General features: G+C 39.8%; 1 protein-coding gene across 11 annotated transcripts in view, besides 1 other annotated feature; it reads right to left on the minus strand.

Moving 5' to 3' along the window:
* SLC12A6 (solute carrier family 12 member 6) overlaps positions 1–21255 on the minus strand; it is a 108274-nt gene that overhangs the window by 60081 nt on the left and 26938 nt on the right. The window lies entirely within an intron of this gene.
* Positions 3328–3547: a silencer, noted in NCBI's record as "fragment chr15:34585393-34585612 (GRCh37/hg19 assembly coordinates)". NCBI's record gives its function as "represses an EF-1alpha promoter that drives an FKBP-Casp9 reporter gene in an ReSE screen in K562 erythroleukemia cells {active_cell/tissue: K562}" and the evidence as "EXISTENCE:reporter gene assay evidence [ECO:0000049][PMID:32094911]".

Consider the following 21255-nt stretch of genomic DNA (forward strand, 5'->3'; position numbering starts at 1 on the left):
TCTCTTTTCTTGTTTATTAGTCTTGCTAGCAGTCTATTTTGTTGATCTTTTCAAAAAACCAGCTCCTGGATTCATTGATTTTTTTAAGGGATTTTGTGTCCCTATCTCCTTCAGTTCTGTTCTGATCTTAGTAACTATTTCTTGCCTTCTGCTAGCTTTTGAATTTGTCTGCTCTTGCTTCTCTAGTTCTTTCAATTGTGATGTTAGGGTGTTGATTTTAGATCTCTCCTGCTTTCTCTTGCGGGCATTTAGTGCTACAAGTTTCCCTTTACACACTTCTTTAAATGTGTCCCAGAGATTCTGGTACGTTATGTCTTTGTTCTCATCGGTTTCAAAGAACATCTTTATTTCTGCCTTCATTTCGTTATTTACCCAGTAGTCATTCAGGAGCAGGTTGTTCATTTTCCATGTAGTTGCGTGGTTTTGAGTGAGTTTATTAATCCTGAGTTTTAATTTGATTGCACTGTGGTCTGAGAGACAGTTTGTTGTGATTTCTGTTTCTTTTACATTTGCTGAGGAGTGCTTTACTTTCAATTACGTGGTCAATTTTAGAATAAGTGCTATGTGGTGCTGAGAAGAATGTATATTCCGTTGATTTGGGGTGGAGAGTTCTGTAGATATCTATTAGGTTCACTTGGTGCAGAGCTGAGTTCAGTTCCTGGATATCCTTGTTAATTTTCTGTCTCGTCGATCTAATATTGACAGTGGGCTGTTAAAGTCTCCCATTGTTACTGTGTGGGAGTCTAAGTCTCTTTGTAGGTCTCTAAGAACTTGCTTTATGAATCTGGGTGCTCCTGTATTGGGTGCATATACATTTAGGATAGTTAGCTCTTCTTGTTGAATTGATTCCTTTACCATTATGTAAATGTCTCTTTTGATCTTTGTTGGTTTAAAGTCTGTTTTATCAAACAGACCAGGATTGCAAGCCCTGCTTTATTTATTTATTTATTTTTGTTTTTCATTTCCTTGGTAGATCTTCCTCCATCCCTTTATTTTGAGCCTATGTGTGTCTTTGCACGTGAGATGGGTCTCCTGAATACAGCACACCGATAGGTCTTGACTCTTTATCCAATTTGCCAGTCTGTGTCTTTTAATTGGGGCACTTACCCTATTTACATTTAAGGTTAATAATTGTTATGTGTGAATTTGATCCTGTCATTATGTGCTAGCTTGTTATTTCATCTGTTAATTGATGTAGTTTCTTCATAGCACTGATGGTCTTTACAATTTGGTATGTTGTTGCAGTGGCTGGTACCAGTTGTTCGTATCCACGTTTAGTGCTTCCTTCAGGAGCTCTTCTAAGACAGACTTGGTGGTGACAAAATCTCTCAGCACTTGCTTGTCTGTAAAGGATTTTATTTCTCCTTCACTTATGAAGCTTAGTTTGGCTGGATATGAAATTCTGGGTTGAAAATTCTTTTCTTTCAGAATGTTGAATGTTGGCTCCCACTCTCTTCTGGCTTGTAGGGTTTCTGCTGAGAGATGCACTGTTAGTCTGATGGGTTTCCTTTTGTGGGTAACCTGACCTTTCTCTCTGGCTGTGCTTAACATTTTTCCCTTCATTTCAACCTTGGTGAATCTGACAATTAAGTGTCTTAGGGTTGCTCTTTTTGAGGAGCATCTTTGCGGTGTTCTCTGTATTTACTGAATTTGAATGTTGGCCTGCCTTGCTAGGTTGGGGATGTTCTCCTGAATAATATCCTGAAGAGTGTTTTCTAACTTGGTTTCATTCTCCCTGTCACTTTCAGGTACACCAATCAAACGTAGATTTGGTCTTTTCACATAGTCCCATATTTCTTGGAGGCTCTGTTCATTTCTTTTCACTTTTTTTTCTCTAATCTTGTCTTCTCACTTTATTTCATTAATTTGATCTTCGATCACTGATATCCTTTCTTCCGCTTGATTGAATCGGCTATTGAAGCTTGTGTATGCTTCACTAAGTTCTTGTACTGTGGTTTTCAGATCCATCATGTCATTTAAGCTCTTCTCTACACTGGTTATTCTAGTTAACCATTTGTCCTACCTTTTTTCAAAGATTTTAGCTTCCTTGCAATGGGTGAGAACATGCTCCTTTAGCTCGGAGAAGTTTGTTATTACCGACCTTCTGAAGCCTACTTCTGTCAACCTGTCAAACTCATTCTCCATCCAGTTTTGTTCCCTTGCTGGTGAGGAGTTGTGTTTCTTTGGAGAAGAAGAGGCATTCTGGTTTTTGGAATTTTTTAGCCTTTCTGCTCTGGTTTCTTCCCATCTTTGTGGTTTTATCTACCTTTAGTCTTTGATGTTGGTGACTTACAGATGGGGTTTTGGTGTGGATGTCCTTTTTGTTGATGTTGATGCTATTCCTTTCTGTTTGCTAGTTTTCCTTCTAACAGACAGGCCACTCAGCTGCAGGTCTGTTGGAGTTTACTGGAGGTCCACTCCAGACCCTGTTTGCCTGGGTATCACCAGCAGAGGCTGCAGAACAGCAAATATTGCTGCCTGATCCTTCCTCTGGAAGCTTCGTCTCAGAGGGGAACCTGCTTGTATGAGGTGTCTGTCGGCCCCTACTGGGAGATGTCTCCTAGTCAGGCTACACAGGGGTCAGGGAACCACTTGAGGAGGCAGTGTGTCCATTCTTAGAGCTCAAACATCACGCTGGGAGAACCACTGCTCTCTTCAGAGCTGTCCAGGAGGGACGTTTAAGTCTGGAGAAGCTGTCTGCTGCCTTTTGTTCAGATATGCCCTGCCCCCAGAGGTGGAATCTAGAGAAGCAGTAGGCCTTGCTGAGCTGTGGTGTGCTCTGCCCAGTTCGCGGTTCCCTGCCACTTTGTTTACTCCAAGTGAGCACAGAACTGCCTACTCAAGCCTCACCAATGGCAGACGCCCCTTGCCCCACCAAGCTCCCACGTCCCAGGTCAATCTCAGACTGCTGTGCTAGCAGCTAGCAAGGCTCCGTGGGTGTGGGACCTGCTGAGCCAGGCATGGGAAGGGATCTCCTGGTCTGATGGTTGTGAAGACTGTGGGAAAAGCGCAGTATTTGGGCAGGAGTGTACCACTCCTCCAAGCACAGTCACTCACGGCTTCCCTTGGCTAGGAAAGGGAAATCCCCCGACCCCTTGTGCTTCCTGGGTGAAGCAATGCCCCACCCTGCTTTGGCTCACCCTCCGTGGGCTGCACCCACTGTCCAACCAGTCCCAATGAGATGAACCAGGTACCTCAGTTGGAAATGCAGAAATCACCCATCTTCTGTGTCAATCTTGCTGGGAGCTGTAGACCAGAGCTGTTCCTATTCAGCCATCTTGGAAGCGACTCCTTAAGATACGTGTTTTTTAAAAAATCTTAATTGAGTTCTGATATGGCTTTAAGGATACAGCAATTAGGTAAAACAGGGAAATTAGTAAAATGTAGTAAAAGTAATTCTATCTATTGCTGTCAGGACTGATAGGTTTTTATTTTATTTAATTAATTAATTTATTTTTGAGACAGAGTCTCACTCTGTTGCCCAGGCTGGAGTGCAGTGGTGCAAACTCAGATCTCTGCAACCTCCACCTCCTGGGTTCAAGCAATTCTCCTGCCTCACCTCCCGAGTAGCTGAGATTACAGGTGCCCACTGCCACATCCAGCTAATTTTTGTATTTTTAGTAGAGACGGGGTTTTGCCATGTTGGCTAGGCTGGTCTCGAAATCCCGACCTCAGATGACCTGTCTGCCTTGGCCTCCCAAAGTGCTGGGATTACAGGCATGAGCCATCGCGCCTAGCCTATTTCATTTTTTTGAGACAAAGTCTCGCTCTGAGGCCTAGGCAGGAGTACAATGGCACAATCTCAGTTCACTGCAGCCTAAACCTCCCAGGTCCAAGTAATCCCCTGGCCTAAGCCTTCCCAGTAGCTGGGACTACAGGCATGTGCCGTCACACCTTGCTAATTAAAAAAATGTTTTTTTGTAGAGACAAGGTCTCCCTATGTTGCCCAGGCTGGCCACAAACTCCTGTTCTCAAGTGATCCTCCTGTCTCAGCCTCCAAAGTGTTGGGATTAGAGGTGTGAACCACCATGCCCAGCCAGGGCTGATAGGTAATTTTAAAAGCTGGTTGAAATAGAGAATCACACACACACAAAAATGGCTCACACATTAATATTTCAACATAAAAGTATATAAACTTGCAAATGTATATTAATTCACCAATCATTTTGTAAAAGCGATACAACTATGCAGATTGAATTTATTCATTTTCTTTCTTGTGTAAATTACACCCATAAGGCATAAGTCTGTGATTTCCAACTTTGGTTTAAAGATACTTATGAAGCAATATCTATATTCTTTTCAAAGCTTTGTCATTGCCCCACTCCCAACTCTTTTACAGGTCTCTTGTCCACTGCTAATTTAAATACTTCCTTCCACCCCCACCTTGAGACGGAGTCTTGCTCTGTCACCCAGGCTGGAGTGCAGTGGTGTGATCACGGCTCACTGCAAACTCCACCTCCCTGGTTCAAGCAATTCTCCTGCCTCAGCCTCCTGAGTAGGTGGGATCACAGGCACTCACCACCTGTGATCCAAAATGTGATACAAAAATGCCAGGCTAATTTTTGTATTCTTAGTAGAGAGGGGGTTTCACCATGTTGGCCAGGCTGATCTCGAACTCTTGACCGCGTGATTCACCCACCTTGGCCTCCCAAAGTAATGGGATTACAGTTGTGAGCCACCACACCTGGCCCTAAATACCTTTTTTTTAATTTTATTTTTAAGATACAGGGTCTTGTTCTGTTGCTCATGATTGAGTTCAATGACATAATCTTAGGTTACTGTAATCTTCAACTCCTGGGCTCAATCAATCCTCCCACCTCAGTCTCCTGAGTAGCTAGGATTACTGGTGTGCACCACTATAACTGGCTAATTTATTTGGTAGAGACAAAATATATCACCCAGGCTGGTCTCTAACTTGTGGCCTCAAGAGATCCTTTTGCTTCCCCTCCCAAAGTGCTAGGATTACAGGCATGAGCCACCACACCCAGCCTTAAATAAGTGTTTAATGACCTGCTAAATAATCCACGTTAGCTTTTATAGACACAACTCTACTTTCCCTATTCATATTACATCAATTTGTGTAATATTTGGTTAAATTATGGATTTATAATAAATACAAGTGTCATGAATAATTTTGGGACCAATAAAAGTCTCCTAGTAGACATAACAACAATAGAAAGAATTATCAACAGTTAGCACTTATTAGGGTATGTATGTGATAGACACCTAAACGTTTTACCTGTATTATCTCATTTACAGCAATCTCATCCTATGCTGTAAGTACTATCATGATTGTTCCATTTTACAGGAAAGGCAAAGGGAACCTCCAGGATGATGCTGAAGACAGAGCCCACTATGACAGCTGTGCAACTATCCCAGAGCGCAGACATGAGGCAGAGTGAAAAGATAACACAGAACTGGGAAGCAGGTAAAGCTCAGGTGAGATACTAGCTCTACCACATGTTATTAGTGTAACCTTGGGAAAATGAGTCAATACTTCTTAGCTTTAATTTACCATCTATGCAATAGGAATAATACTATATCACAGAAAATTGAGATAAGCCACAGAATGATCCTCAACAGACATAATAACAATTATATGCTAAAAAGAGTCATGGCGACAAATTAGAATTTAGGTAGCTGGGCATATTTCTTGGAATTCTAAACATTTTGTAGTACAATAGTACTGTGGAAAATATCAAAGTAATGTGGTTGAATTCTTAGCACTGATATACACATTGATTTATAACGATACAGTCATGTGATAATAATAGTTTGAGTCACTATTCTTGTATCAAAAAATTTGATACATTTATAGTGTGGACAAAATACACATTAACATACAGTTTGGAGGCTGGGTGCGGTGGCTCACACCTGTAATCCCAGCACTTTGGGAGGCCAAGGTAGGCGGATCACCTGAAGTTGGGAGTTCAAGACTAGCCTGACCAACATAGAGAAACCCTATCTCTACTAAAAATACAAAAAATTAGCCAGGCATGGTGGCACATGCGTGTAAGCCCAGCTACTCGGGAGGCTGAGGCAGGAGAATTGCTTGAACCCAGGAGAAGGAGGTTGCAATGAGCTGAGATCACGCCATTGTACTCCAGCCTGGGTGACAAGAGCGAAACTTCATCTCAAAAACAAACAAACACACAGTTTGGAATGTTGTGATACAATTATTTATAATAGTAATTGTTAAGGACTGTCTGTACTACATTTCCCAGTACAATTTTATTAATGATTCCAATTCAAATAAACAATGATAATTTAATTCCATAAGTTTTAAACATGCCTAAAGCTGTGTTGGATGCTGTGGGGAACAAGAGTGAGCATAAGATATTTCCTGACATTAAGCAGCTCATAATCTAGTTGAAAAGTCAACTTCAACTTAAGAAACTAAGAAAGAATGATGGTAATAATAGTAACTTACACATAGTAACATTTTACAGTTTTTAAAATATTTTCACATATTTCTTTTGGTTCTCATGATAACCCTGTGATACAGATAGGAAATATTAAAAAGCTAAAGCAAGATTAGGCTCAATGGTTCATCCAAGGCAAACTGAGTGTAAATTTCAAAAAAGACTCGCTTGAACTTGGATTCTGATTTGTCTACTATATCATACTGGTTGTTCCTAAAATTTAGGTACAAGAATGAATAATGGTAATATACATAACTTTTAATTATCCAGGGAAGATAATTATCTAAGGCACAAGATCACAACAAGGCATGTATGAAATAATTACAAATAGTCAGAGTAGGTATCTGGTGCATGGAACTACACAGTGACCACAGATGGCCATATCGATGCGTTGCTAATGCAGCAGAGTTCACAAACATTGCCGACCCAGGTAAGACTGCCCCATCCCTTTTTGCCAAGAGCATGGCAGAACACAGAGAAGGTAAAGGAAAGCTCATGTGGTTATGGAATCCAACAGAGAGTCAGGACTGAAGGTAGAGAAATTAAGAAGAGATAAAGAACATCCACATAGAAAAGTAGATATGCTTCTACTTTGATATTTGAAAAAAAATTTTAGTAACCAAACTGTTTTACTTGTGTTATTTGTATACTTCTGATAACTCCATAAGAATCAAATTTTTGAAAATTTAACTACAAATGTTTATTAAGTTCATTTTCTACTAAACATCTTGATAAGTTTTAACTGATTCTACCTTCTCCCCTCATCCTGCCATTAACCCAGCTAACTGAAAGTTGGAAGCACTTTGCCAAATATCATTTTTAAAAATGTTTGTGCTAGAATATCTTTAAAATCTCTTCAAATGTTGCTAATCTCTTTTTTAACAGGCTTAGTCAGAGCCTAAGCTTGGCAACAGTATCTAACAAGATTAGCTGCTTTATTGTATCTATTTTTAATTTATACTCTATTTATGGCAAGCATGCTGGTATTTCATTTAGTGACAACGTTCCTTTTTAAAAGGAAACCATAAAAGCAGTGACTCAATTTAAGAAAAAAATTAAATAAACACAAAGATGATCCATAAAAATAGAAAGATTACAAAGGTAGTCTCTAAAAGACTGAATTTAGGGAAAATTTCCTACTATCATCACATAAAAACTGCACAGCAACCATGTGAAGAAGAATTATTCCTATATTCATAAAGAAACTAGCTCAGAGAAAGCTGAAATGATTTGCCCAAGGTGGTGTAGCCAATAAAGCCAATGGAACCATGGCAAAGCCAGGCCTCAGCTGTGGTCTTGGATCATCTCACTAGCAGGAAGCAGTGTGAGGGTCCACAGGGAGACGTGCAACATTGATCAAGGCAGTGTGAACTTGAAGGAGGATTTTTGAAAACCTTAAAAATCATGGAGGGCTCAAAATCACAGAGGAGGAATAAATACAGCACATGTCTGGAAAGATTTGCTTGGGAAGATTGGGTCATATTAGGAAAATCTTGGAAGGCAAATAGAGGAGTCTAAAGGAGATGGAAAACAACTGAAATTCTCTATGTAGAAGTCTAAAAATGAAAGCAGTATTTTAGGCAAGGAAACATGAGTACAAAAATGCAAAAAGAAATAAATGCTAGATATATTAGAGACAGGCAGGCAGACTCATTAATAGACCACGGCGGTCTGTCCATGTGCAAACATCTCTAAGGCTAACTGTCTAGGACAGCAGTAGTAGTTATTAATATTAATTCAACCAAGACTCTGAATGCCTACTATATGTCAGGTACATGCTAGGCACTATGGATATCAAAAACAGTGACCATTTGCTCTCAAGAAGTTCAGAGGGGAAAAATACACAATTATGAAACAATAAAATTATTACAGTTTAAGTACAAATACTGTGGGACTCAAGAAGGAAAGAACAAAAATAGGCCGCTCACACCTGTAATCCCAGCACTTTGGGAGGCCGAGGCAGGTGGATCACAAGGTCAGGAGTTTGAGACCAGCCTGGCCAAGATGGTGAAACCCCGTTTCTACTAAAAATACAAAAATTAGCTAGGCATGGTGGTGGGCATCTGCAATCCTGGCTACTCGGGAGGCAGAGGCAGGAGAACTGCTTGAACCCGGGAGGCGGAGGTTGCAGTGAGCTGAGATGGTGCCTCTGCACTCCAGCCTAGGCGACAGAGTGAGACTCTGTCTCAAAATAAATAAATAAATAAATAAATAAAATAAAAATAAAGCAATGGTAAGAGATGTTGTCAAGGGGATAACTGAGCTAAATCTTGAAGGATGATTAGTTCATGAAAAAGTAGAAAAATGGGTGGGGGGAAATGGAGGAGAGACATTCCAGAGATAAAATAGCAGGATTTAATATACCTAACATAAAAAAGAAGAAAAGAATCCTGTCATTCACAGAGAAAGTGGGTACACAGAAGCAGTGAGCACATGTACTTCCAACCTGATTCTTCCCCCTTCCTCCCTCAGTCTCAATATTTAGTCATCAAATCCAGTTAAATGTGGCTTCAGTATGCTTCCACACCAATCTATTCCATTGCACTGCCATCATTTAGATTCTCATCCTTTTCAGCTTAGACCAATTGCCACCAATTCTCCCATCTTCAAACAATCCTACATTTTCCTCCATACTAATAATCCTAAAATTCTGCCTTTATCAGTTTGCATCATTGCTTAAACAACAAAATAAATACTTTGAAAGCTTTCCAAGTGACACTGCCAGGAGACCCCAAACATTTTGTGAAGATCATTTTCACTTGTTTATTTGTAATCTACATCATGTGTGGGGTACTAATCTGAGTCCCTCAAAGCAAAGGGGAAGGGCTGCCTTTGTAAGCTCTACCTTTGTTCCTACTTTGAAATCTCAGGCTGGGGGATGATGGTGGGGATGATGGTGGTAGCGGAGGCTACTGGTGTAGACATTTATAAATAGATTGTGGTTTACTTATTTGGACCCATTGGCTTATAGGGTGAACTCGAAAAACTTCAGCTTGGCATTTAAGCCCCTTTATATTTTAGTTTAACCTTTTCTCAACTGTTGGGTATAAGCTGCCTTGTATTATCTTTTAATTAATCAACATATTAATTCAACAAATATTTACTAAGCATCTATAAATGTCAGATTATGTGCTAGGCACTGGAGATGCATAAAGATGAATAGAGCACAGCAGCTACCCCTAAGGGGCTTACAGCACATACGGGTAAGACAAGTGATTGCAGTGGGTGACTAAAGTACTATATTGGAGGTGTAGACATAGAGTATGGTAGCGTGTACATTACATTACATTTCCTGGAGTGATCACAGGGACCATTAAGGAAGAAGTGGTATTTGAGCTCAGTCTTAACATGAAGATTGTTTGCTAGGTAACTGAAGAACACTCCAAGAGGATGGAATAAATGTGTTAAAGCAACAGAGACATTCAAGAACATTCATTATATCTGGTGTGCAGTATGTACAAAAGAGTAATAAACAAGGAAGCTATTAAGCTGGGATGTTCTAGATCGTGTAGGTACATGTACCTGCTAAGCAGTACAGACTTTGTCAGCATGGGGAGACATTAGGGGGTTTTAAATGAGGGAGTAATAGGATGAGATTTACATATGAGAAAAATTCCTCTGGTAATTACTGTAATGGATGGCTTTAGGAGGTTAGACAAAAAATAACAATGGACTAGGATAGTAGCAGTGAAGATGGAGAGAACGGGACAAATTTGAGAATTATTTGGAAGACTAAATGAGCAAAAATCGGCGAGAAAGAAAAGGAAAGAGTGACAGAGAGATTGAATATTGTAATATATCAAGGGGGAAGGAGTCAATAAAAAAATTAGAAATCACAAGAGTTAGGAAGCAAGAAAGGTTCTAGAGCACAGGTGTATGGATCAATATTGAACGACAACAAGGAAGGTGGTAAAGGATAGGTGTCAACACAGATGCTGGTAAGAACTTATGAAGAAGAATATTAGAAATAAAGAAATACAGTTTACTCTGTGAAGTAGAAGGTTTAGCTATATGAGAATGGAGGATTGAGGTCTTAAGCATTTTAACTCTGTAAGGATTGAGAAGGGAAGCTAACTAGAATCACACAGAATGTCTAAATAGTGTCGACAGTACAACATTGTTGGAAATGATGAATTTATGGTGGTATCAGTTTTCATGGCTGTGAGATTCCCCTACTCCCCTACCCCTAGCCATAACACAGCTGCCAGGATTAAGAATGAAAGGAGGTGGCTAGGCACAGTGGCTCATGTCTGTAATCCCAGCACTTTGGGAGGCTGAGGCAAGAGGATCACTTGAGCCCAGACCAGGCTGGAAAACATAGAAGACTCTGTCTCCACACACACCCAAAAGTTTTTAATTAGCCAGTCATGGTGGTGTGTGCCTGTAGTCCCAGCTACTTGGGAGGCTGAGGCACGAGGACTGCCTGAACCTGGGAGACAGACATTGCAGTGAGTGAGCTGAGACGCACCACTGCACTCTGGCCTGGGAGACAGAGTGACTCCGTCTCAAAAAAAAAAAAAAAAAAAAAAGAATGAGAGGAGCAGGTTTGGGGGCATGAGGGGCAGGGGTCCTATCTGCCCATTATAAGCATTTTGAGACAAGAATTTTGTTTTAACGTTGCTGTGACAATTACAACTTCATGTAATACAGACAGAGCTTCATGTAACATTTATAAAATGTTCAACATTTTTGTTTTTTTGAGAAGGAGTTTCACTCTTGTTGTCCAGGCTGGAGTGCAATGGCGCGATCTCGGCTCACTGCAACCTCCGCCTCCCAGGTTCAAGCGATTCTCCTGTCTCAGCCTCCTGAATAGCTGGGATTAGAGGCATGCACCACCACACCTGGCTAATTTTGTCTTTTTTAGTAGAGACAGGGTTTCACCATGTCGGTCAGGCTGGTCTTGAACTCCTGACCTCAGGTGAGGTCAGGGATTACAGGTGTGAGCCACCAGGCCCGGCCTCAACATGTTTGTTAACTGACTCATGTTGAAGTGATTTCAAAGACAAATACCAAGAGACCAAAATTCAGGATTAGTTTTAATAAAGGCTGATGATGGAAACAAAGAAACAAAGTCCTCATCAAAACATAAGAGCTGAAGACAGAAGGATGAACTTTCCTAAAAGCCAATGGAAAGAGAAAGCACCTGAGACCAAGGGCTCAGAATGCTAGAGAAGGAAACAGAGGGAAAAAAATTATTGACACTATGACTGTAATGCTGTCATTCCAATTTTTCCCAACAAGTCTAGATACTAGAAGGAAGAAAATGGTAATTAAGGTAGAAAGTAGTGAAAATGTAGGGCCAAACATGCCTATGGAGCAGAACACACAACACATGAATCCTGAAGAAATTGTATGTGAATTTACTTAGCAATCGTCTCTTTGATCCATCTGACTTATTTTAAAGAAAAGACAGCCAGACAAGGCTGGGCGTGGTGGCTCACGCCTGTAATCCCAGTGCTTTGGGAGGCCAAGGTGGGCGGATCACCTGAGGTCAGGAGTTCGAGACCAGCCTGCAGATCTGCCACTAATACTGGGTACTCATCAACAATGTCCTTCAAAATCCAGTACATATGCTAAGAATAAGTATTAGATTAACAGAGGCTCTTAAGCAAACCAGTGCTATTTAGTGGAGTGTCCCAAGCAAGAGAAATGTTAAGACCACTTTTTGTTTGAGCTCAGATTTGTATAAAGAAAATGCAAATGAGGTAAACTGTGTTCTGAATACATTAGATTAAGTTGTGTTGAAATTCTTCCAAATATGTGGAGATAAATCCACTAGAAGTTGAAGAACTCAGCAGTGATGAAGATAGTTATACTTCTAATTCACAGCCTATAACTTATACAACCTATGGTTGTAATTTTCTTCTCAGCCTATAACACTGAGAAGATGGTGAGAGTAATACCAGACAGTAGATTTAATAAAGGCCAAAGTATAATATAAAGAGAGTTTATTGGGCCAAATCCACAAACTGGTCAGTCAAGAAAAGTATAAATGATACAAGAGGACTGTACCTACACAGTTAAAAAAGAAGAAAAAAAACTTACTAAGAAATAACAAAGGAGGATGGATCTTGAGGCTGTTGCAAATATTACTGAAGAAAATTATGTATAAAGAAGATTATGGGCTAGCCAGGTGTGGTGGCTCATGCCTGCAATCCTGACACTTTGGGAGGCCGAGGCGGGTGGATCACTTGAGGTCAGGAGTTTGAGACCAGCCTGTCCAACATGGTGAAACCCCATTTCTACAAAAATACAAAAATTAGCCAGGTGTGGTGGCGGGAGCCTGTAATCCCAGCTACTCGGGAGGCTGAGGTAAAAGAATTGCTTGAACCCAGGAGGCGGAGGTTGCAGTAAGCTGAGATTGTGCCACTGCACTCCAGCCTGGGTGACACAGTGGCTCATGCCTATAATCTTGGCACTTCCGGAGGTGGAGGTGGGATGATTGCTTGGGCCTAGGAGTTCAAGACCAGCCTGGGCAACACAGGGAGATTTGTCTCTACAAAAAAATTAAAAATTAGCCTGGCGTAGTAGTGGATGTCTATAGTCCCAGCTACTTGGGAGGCTGAGGTGAGAGGATTGCTTGAGCCCAGGAGGCTGAGGCTGCAATGAGCCATAATCATGACACTGCACTTCAGCCTGGGTGACAGACGGGAGAAGGGAGACCCTGTCTCAAAAAAAAAAAAAAAAAAAAAAAGATTATGTCATTCTTTGGTCTTGTGGATGATCCAAATTATTTTTCATGCACTGTGGAAACATATTTCACATTTTCATTTTAAAGATGGTTTTGGAAAAATAAACATGACCATAAGAGACTATCTTCTTAACAAGAAGGGGAGAAAATTGGCCTAAACAACAAATTAGGAACTAAGGAGTTAAAAGGGGAATTAGGGGGACTAAGAGACTACTGTGAACATTTCCAATATTTTAAGAGCCTATATTGATTTCATGTTACAGTCAAAGGTTAACTGCTTAATGTAGGCTGAACATAACATTTCCTAAAGTTTTAAACCCAGACATTAAACTAGAAACTATTATTATATATACTGTATTCTGGAATTTTTTAAAAACATTGTTTTTAGTGTGTATACTTTGAATAGTAAATGTGTCATGATCTTCAATAATTTAGAAAATATAAATGGAATCATATATAAACTTTTGAGACTGCCTTTTTTTCATTGAGCCTAATGCCTTGCAGATTCATGCAAGCTGCTGTGTATTATCAACACTAGTTCCTCTTTAAAAAAAATACATTTTGAAACATAAACTACAGACCTGCCATGGTTTGAATATATCCTCCCAAAAGCATCTGTTGGAAACTTAATCCCCAATGCAACATCACTGGGAGGTGGGGGACTAATTAGAGGTAATTAGGCCATTAGGTAATTAAGCCACCCTCAACAATGGATTAATGTCATTATCAAGAGAGTTTGTAACAAAATAGGGAGTTTGGTCCCCTTCTCTCTCACTCCCTCTTACCCTCTCTGCCCTCTGCCATGGGAAGATGCAGCAAGAAGGCCCTCAGCAGATGCTGGCACCTTGGTCTTGGACTTTCCAGCCTCCAGAACCACGAGTCAATAAATTTCAATTCATTATAAATTACCCAGTCTGTGGTATTGTTATAGCAGCATGAAACATACTAAGACAACACCATATAATTCACTCAAAGTGTTCAGTGTTTCTTAATATAGTCACACTGTTGTGTAGCTGTCACCACAATCTAATTTTACATTTTTGTCTCCCCACTAAAAGAAACCCTCTACCCATCAGCAGGCTAATCCCCATCTCACTCTCCCCAACCCTATCCAGACTAAACGACCATTAATCTAACTTCTGCCTCTATAAATTTACCTATTCTGGACATTTCCTACGAATGGAATCATACAGTATGTGTTTGGGGTTTTTTGCAACTAGATTCCTTAACTTGCATTTTCAAGCTTCACACATGTTATAGCAGGAATCAGTACTTTGTTTTTATTGCCAAATAATATTCCATTATATGGCTATATCACATTTTATCTATTCATTTGTCAGCTGGAGGACATTTGGGCTGTTACTTCTTTATTAGCTATTATTTATAATGCTGCTATAAACATTCCTGTACAAGTTTTTGTGTGGAAATACACTTAATTACTGGGACATATGGTAATTCTATGTTTAACTTTTTAAGAAACTGTCAAATTGTTTTCCAAAGTAGTTGTACTATTTTACATTGTCACTAGTAGCAGATGAGAGTTTCAATACTTCACATCCTTTCCAACACTTGATATCTGTCTTTTTGTTTATAGCCATCCCAGTGAGTGTGAAAAAACTGTACCTCATTTTGGTTTTGATGTGTATTTCTTTAATAACTAATGATGTTGAGCATCTTTTCATGTACATATTGGTGCTTTTTCCTCTCCTCACCTTAATTGGAAAGCTGTTACTTCCTTTTGTTCCCACAGTTTTGAGGTTCTGCCCTGACTTACTTATCACATTGTAAATATTATTGTTCTCTGAACTATGCATCCTTTGGTTAAAAACCTTACTTAGCATTTACATAATACATTCCCAAAGAGTCTGTCATTTTCCATTATTTCTATCCCTTTCATCATGTGATCTCTGTTCTAGGTCACTTGTTATTTGGCTAAAACCCCTTCTTGAATTTTCTCAGAGGAGTTAAGTGGGTATTATATCCTTGAAATTTTTGTATAGTTGTAACATGTTTCCCCTCATAGGGGAGAAATATCTTCAAGGGAAATAGGGATTTGGGATTGTGAAATCCCCAATCTGTAAATACTCTTCTACCATCTCCTAGTTTCCAGTGTTGTGAATTAGAATTCTGATTCCAGTCTGTTACTTGATAGGTGCAACCTGTTCTATCTGGAAGCCTCCAAGGTGAATCCTTGGAGCTCAAAAATTTTACAAGGATATCCCTATGTATGTGTTTTTCATCACTGATCTCCCCCAGAACTTCATTCTGCACACTGAAGTCTTTAGCTCAGGAAATAATTTTATGTTGTTTAATTATTCCTTCTCCATTTGTTCCTTTTTCTTCTTCTGGAACTTGTATTAGCCATGTTAGGTGTCCTGAATCGATCCAATAGGTCTCTTTTTTAAAAGTTTTTTTTTTTTGTATTTTTTTTTTGGCTCCATGCTTTGAAATATTTATTTTACTTGATCTTCCAGGTCAATAATTGTTCATACTCATTCATTCCTTTATTCAATAATTATGTTTCGGGCGCCTACTATGTGTAAGACAGTGTTCTAGGTATTAGAGTTGACAACAGATTAGCAGTGAATACAAGACAAAAAAGTTCCTGTTCTCCTGGTGCTTACACTCTAGCAGAGATAGTTTTAAAAAAAATAAGTGTGTGAGGATAAATGGAGTCAGGTGATAATAATTATTTAGGTGGAAAAATCACATTTTTTGTTCCATAAAGTCTTAAATGTGGCCCATTATTATTTTCATGTTCAAGTTTCTCTCTCCTCCAGCATTTTTTTTTTTTTTTTAAAGATGGAGTCTCGCTCTGTCACCCAGGCTAAAGGGAGTGGCGCGATCTCGGCTCACTGCAACCTCTGCCTCCTGGGTTCAAGTGATTCTCCTGCTTCAACCTCCTGAGTAACTGGGACTACAGGCGCCCACCACCGCGCCCGGCTAATTTTTTGTATCTTTTTTTAGTAGAGATGGGGTTTCCCCATGTTAGCCAGGATGGTCTCGATCTCCTGACCTCGTGATCCGCCCGCCTCGGCCTACCAAAGTGCTGGGATTACAGGCGTGAGCCACCGTGCCCAGCCTCCTCCAGCATTTCTATTTAGCTAACTCAATATATTGTTTATTCTAAGTGGTTTTTCTCTTTCAGGTTGCCTGGCTTCCCCAGATGGGTTGTTTATCTTTGTCACCTCATGGGGGATGAGATTTAGTTGTTGGAGGACCACAAGCGGTAGCAGTCTCAAGAAAATGGAAAGGCAAAGCAGTCTCTACCCCTGTGGGTAGGCAGTGCTGCAGCAGGCAAGCCACCAGCCCTTGTGGAGGCCCAGGAGGAAGCCTCCCTGCTCTCAGGTCTCCTTACATATGCCAGCCACAGGGATGGGAAGATCTCAGACCCATGGCTCTTTCCTTTTCTCCTTCCCTCCAGGAATTCATGGATATCTACCAAACCAAGTTCTTTCCTGGATTTGCCATTCTTATGCTTATCCTGAGATTTTCCAGGCTCTTGTCTAGAGGAAAAGTCCTGTACCAACTCTCCCTGACAGAGTTCTCACACAGCCCATGGCCTCAATTGCACCAACTGTTCATCAGATCCAGGAGCCACTTCACTCAAGATTGACAGATACAGGCTGGAAGCAGGAATGGAGGGATAGTGAGATATTCAAGTAGCCACCTTCCCAGAACTCACTCTGAAAAGTCAGTCCTGTTTACAGACTAATCCTAAAAGCATTAAAATCTTGGCATGTAAGTCAAAAATTTAAAGTGCCACTGTAAAGTCCAAACATCTGTGGACTGCATTGTTTTCAACTACTGCCCTAAGTATTAAGTTCTGAAGAAAAAATTTAAGAAATAAGGAAGATCTTAATGGAAGTCAAAATTAAAGGAAACTGATTAGATGGACTCTGAAAATAATTGTTATATAAAAGCAGTCAGACCAAAAGGAGTACATACTGTATGATTACATTTATATAAAATTCTAGGAAATGCAAACTAATTTGGTGACAGAAAAAGAGAACAGTGGTTGCCTAGGGACCAAGGAATTAGGTGAGTGGGGCATAAAGGGCACAAAGAAACTTCTGGGGGTGACGAAAATGTTCACTATCTTCATTATAATTATTTCATGGGCATATAAATGTCAAAATTCATCAACAAAATATACACCTTAAAGATGTACAGTTAACTTTATGTCAACTGCACCTCGATAAAAAAATACCGATGGGGAAAAACATTTGGAATTTATTTCCCAAAGGGATTGACATCCCTAAATATAAAGCATATCTAAAAAATAAAGAAGAATACCTACAGGTAACAGACATGAACAGGAAGTTCACTAAACTTTTCCGAATTTGAAATTTCCACAATAAAAAATAAAATATGTAATTTTCAGAAAAATATTAAAACACTATGTCTCACCCTCAATACAGGTGAAGAGATAAAATATAATTACAGTGTTACTGCAAGAATATTTGACTGCTGATAAATACCAATTATTTTTCTTTGTTTTTTACATTTTTCTTTTATTTTTAAAATTGAAGATGAGGTCTCACTATGTTCTCAGGCTGGTCTCAAACTCCTGGTCTACAGCCTCCATCTCTCAAAGTGTTGGGATTATAGGCATGAGTCACCATGTCCACCCATTAATACCAATTAATGATATAATCAAAGTTGGAGTAGAAGATTAGGAAAGTCATCTTGGAGGAAATAAGTATGAACTTGGTCTTGAAGTAATGAAACTGAATGTGGGTATATGTAATTTTTTTTACTGTAGGCAGGAAACAGCAGAAGAGAAGAAAGTTGAGATGAAGAAAAAAATATGAACGAAGGCAATGAAGTAAGGGGAAGATGGAGACAACTTTTAGGGCTTTTACTATAGGTTCACTGTTTCTAATATAACCATCAGAATCTTCTGTCACAAAAGGTTACATGTTGATGGAAAGAATACAGGAAAATAAATGAGATCTAATTTACCATATGAGGCTTTAGAATTTATTAAAATCATTTGTTATTTATGTACCATATTTAATCTTTGCCATGTCTATATTCTACCTATATTAGTATTTTTCTCTAGAAAGAATTTAGTTTTTACTCAGCTTCATTTCCATGAAAATGAAATATAATTTTTCTTAATATATTAAAAATATCTTACCTACCTTCAGTGATATTAAAATTCAATTATTTCACTTGCTCCATATGCCCATTTTTTTCCATCACTAACCCTTAGTCTTTAAGCATGCAGATCTAAATTTCCATTAGTTAGACTGGTACAAGTCTCCTGCGAATTGTTAAGTCTCTTATTTCTATCTCGCTGATAATTGCATCTTCCTAGAAATGTGAGGAGTGGAGAGCTACTAAAGACTGTTGGATTAAGGGTTGGGCACGGTGGCTCATGCCTGTAATCCCAGCACTTTGGGAGACTGAGGTGGGTGGATCACTTGAGGTCAGGAGTTTAAGACCAGCCTGGCCAACATGGTGAAACCCTGTCTCTACTAAGAATATGAAAATTAGCCGGGCATGGTGGTGCATGTCTGTAATCCCAGCTACTCTGGAGTCTGAGACAGGAGAATTGCCTGAACCTGGGAGGCGGAGGTTGCAGTGAGCCGAGACCACTCCACTGCACTTCAGCCTGAGCAAGGAAGCCAGACACTGTCCACCTGACAAAAAAAAAAAAAAAAAAAAAACAAACCAGATTGTTGGATTAAGTCAAGTTCAGATTTCTCAATTTTTAGTGCCATTTGAAAGAATATTCTACATTTGTAAATACTCTATGCGAAATAAAAAAGCAATCCAAAACAAAACGGTAGAAGAAGCAGTTAACTTTCAATTAATTTTGTTAAATCCATGAAGATAATAGAGCTTAAGAAGAACTAGTAACTACTGAAAAAACAGAGCAGCCTAGTTCAGAAAACACAAATAATTACATATATGTTTAAAGTAGAAACAGCGTGGTGTGGCGAAAAATAATGGCTTTAGAGCTACACAGCCCTTATTTTGAATTCCAAATCTGTCACTTAAATAATCTTCCTAATTTTTTGGCACCTCACTTTCCTCATTTTTAACATGGTGATAATGGTTACCTGTCCTGATTGTTGTGAGGATTAAATAAGCCACAAACCAGTGCCTGGTTTGAACACTGGCTCTGCTACTCACCATGCTCAACAATGGTAGTTGGTATTTTTACTGAAATGTTGATGACATTTTCTGGGTAAAATTGTTTCCTCTTTCAGCCTGGCCAAAGCAAGAAATTCTCGATTCTTTAAATTTACCAGCTTATAATCAATTTGTTAACCTATGCCATATGTCTAAATTCAGCCCGAAATTTAAAAATCTTTTGAATATTTTATAATACACTAAAATTACACTTAATATATTTTTATATTCCTAAATATTGCTTTGACTATAGAATTTAAAAATTAAGCAATATGCATATTTTATAGCAATTTTTATCTTTATAGAATTAAATCAGTTGAAATCTGGTGTATCTCTTGTGGGGCAAAAGTAGCAGACAGTTGACAGAAGGTTGGTATACTAAGCTAGAAAAATTTTGGAAGTGAGAGATTCTAAAAAGCCGATGATAACAGTGCTCAAATAAGAAATCAAAGTGTCTGAGATTGTAATATGAGAAAGAAGGGTCACAATCTAAACAAAGTTTTAAAATGTAAAAATCTGAAAGGAATCAAATTTGTATTCTTATATTAAGGTCTTAGATATAGTAAACAGAATTGGGAAGATATTTCAGAGAGGTATTAGTCTTTCTGACAATGGCTGGATACTGCGGGTTGGGGAAGGAGGCAGGAAAACATGCCTCACAGAGCCAACTTAAAAAAAGGATAAAGCTTTGATCCTGAGATTTTAAAGCGTGCAGATCTAAATTTCCGTTAGTTAGGCTGGTAAAAGCCTCCCATGAATTGTTAAAAGGACTAGAAAATAAAAGGCTTTTCAATCACTATAGAAAAGATTTTTATTGACACAGAGAAGCTCTTTAGTTGTCTATTTCAATCTATTTTAATGTTAGTGAATAAAAAGAGATAATCTTTTTTTTTTTTTGAGACAGGGTCTCACTTTCTCACTTTGTTGCCCAGGATAGAGTGCAGTGGCATGATAACGGATTACTGCAGCCTCCACCTCCTGGGTTCAAGCAATCCTCCCACCTCAGCCTTCCGAGTAGCTGGGACTACAGGCACACAACACCACGCCCAGCTAGTGTGTGTGTGTGTGTGTGTGTGTGTGTGTGTGTCCCTGTGTCCAGGCTAGTGTTGAACTCCTGGGCTCAAGTGTGTGTGTGTGTGTGTCCCCGTGTCCAGGCTGGTGTTGAACTCCTGGGCTCAAGTGTGTGTGTGTGTGTGTGTGTGTGTCCCCGTGTCCAGGCTGGTGTTGAACTCCTGGGCTCAAGTGTGTGTGTGTGTCCCTGTGTCCAGGCTGGTGTTGAACTCCTGGGCTCAAGTGTGTGTGTGTGTGTGTGTGTGTCCCCGTGTCCAGGCTGGTGTTGAACTCCTGGGCTCAAGTGTGTGTGTGTGTGTGTGTATGTATGTGTGTGTCCCCGTGGCCAGGCTAGTGTTGAACTCCTGGGCTCAACTGTGTGTGTGTGTGTGTGTGTGTATGTGTGTGTGTGTGTGTGTGTCCCCGTGTCCAGGCTGGTGTTGAACTCCTGGGCTCAAGTGTGTGTGTGTGTGTGTGTGTGTGTGTGTGTGTGTGTGTCCCCGTGTCCAGGCTGGTGTTGAACTCCTGGGCTCAAGAGTGTGTGTGTGTGTGTGTGTGTGTCCCCGTGTCCAGGCTGGTGTTGAACTCCTGGGCTCAAGTGTGTGTGTGTGTGTGTGTGTGTGTGTGTGTGTGTGTGTGTGTGTGTGTCCCGTGTCCAGGCTGGTGTTGAACTCCTGGGCTCAAGTGATCTGCCCACCTTGGCCACCCACAGTGCTGGCATTACAGGTATGAGCCACCAAGCCCAGCCAAATCACCTTTTTTAGAACATAAGCTTTCATGGGTAACAATTATTTAGTTAATAGTCTAACATCCTGTGGATTCTCAATAAAATTTAAACCTCATTTAATAGAAATTTGTCTCATAGTTTGCTCTCCTACCATTTGTATTACTTGTGAGTTACTGTTTGGAGATGCTCTTCAATACCAGTACAGGTTCCTCTCTCTATTG

The sequence above is a fragment of the Homo sapiens genome, chromosome 15, assembly GCF_000001405.40.
Source record: "Homo sapiens chromosome 15, GRCh38.p14 Primary Assembly".
Classification (NCBI taxonomy): Eukaryota; Metazoa; Chordata; class Mammalia; order Primates; family Hominidae; genus Homo; species Homo sapiens.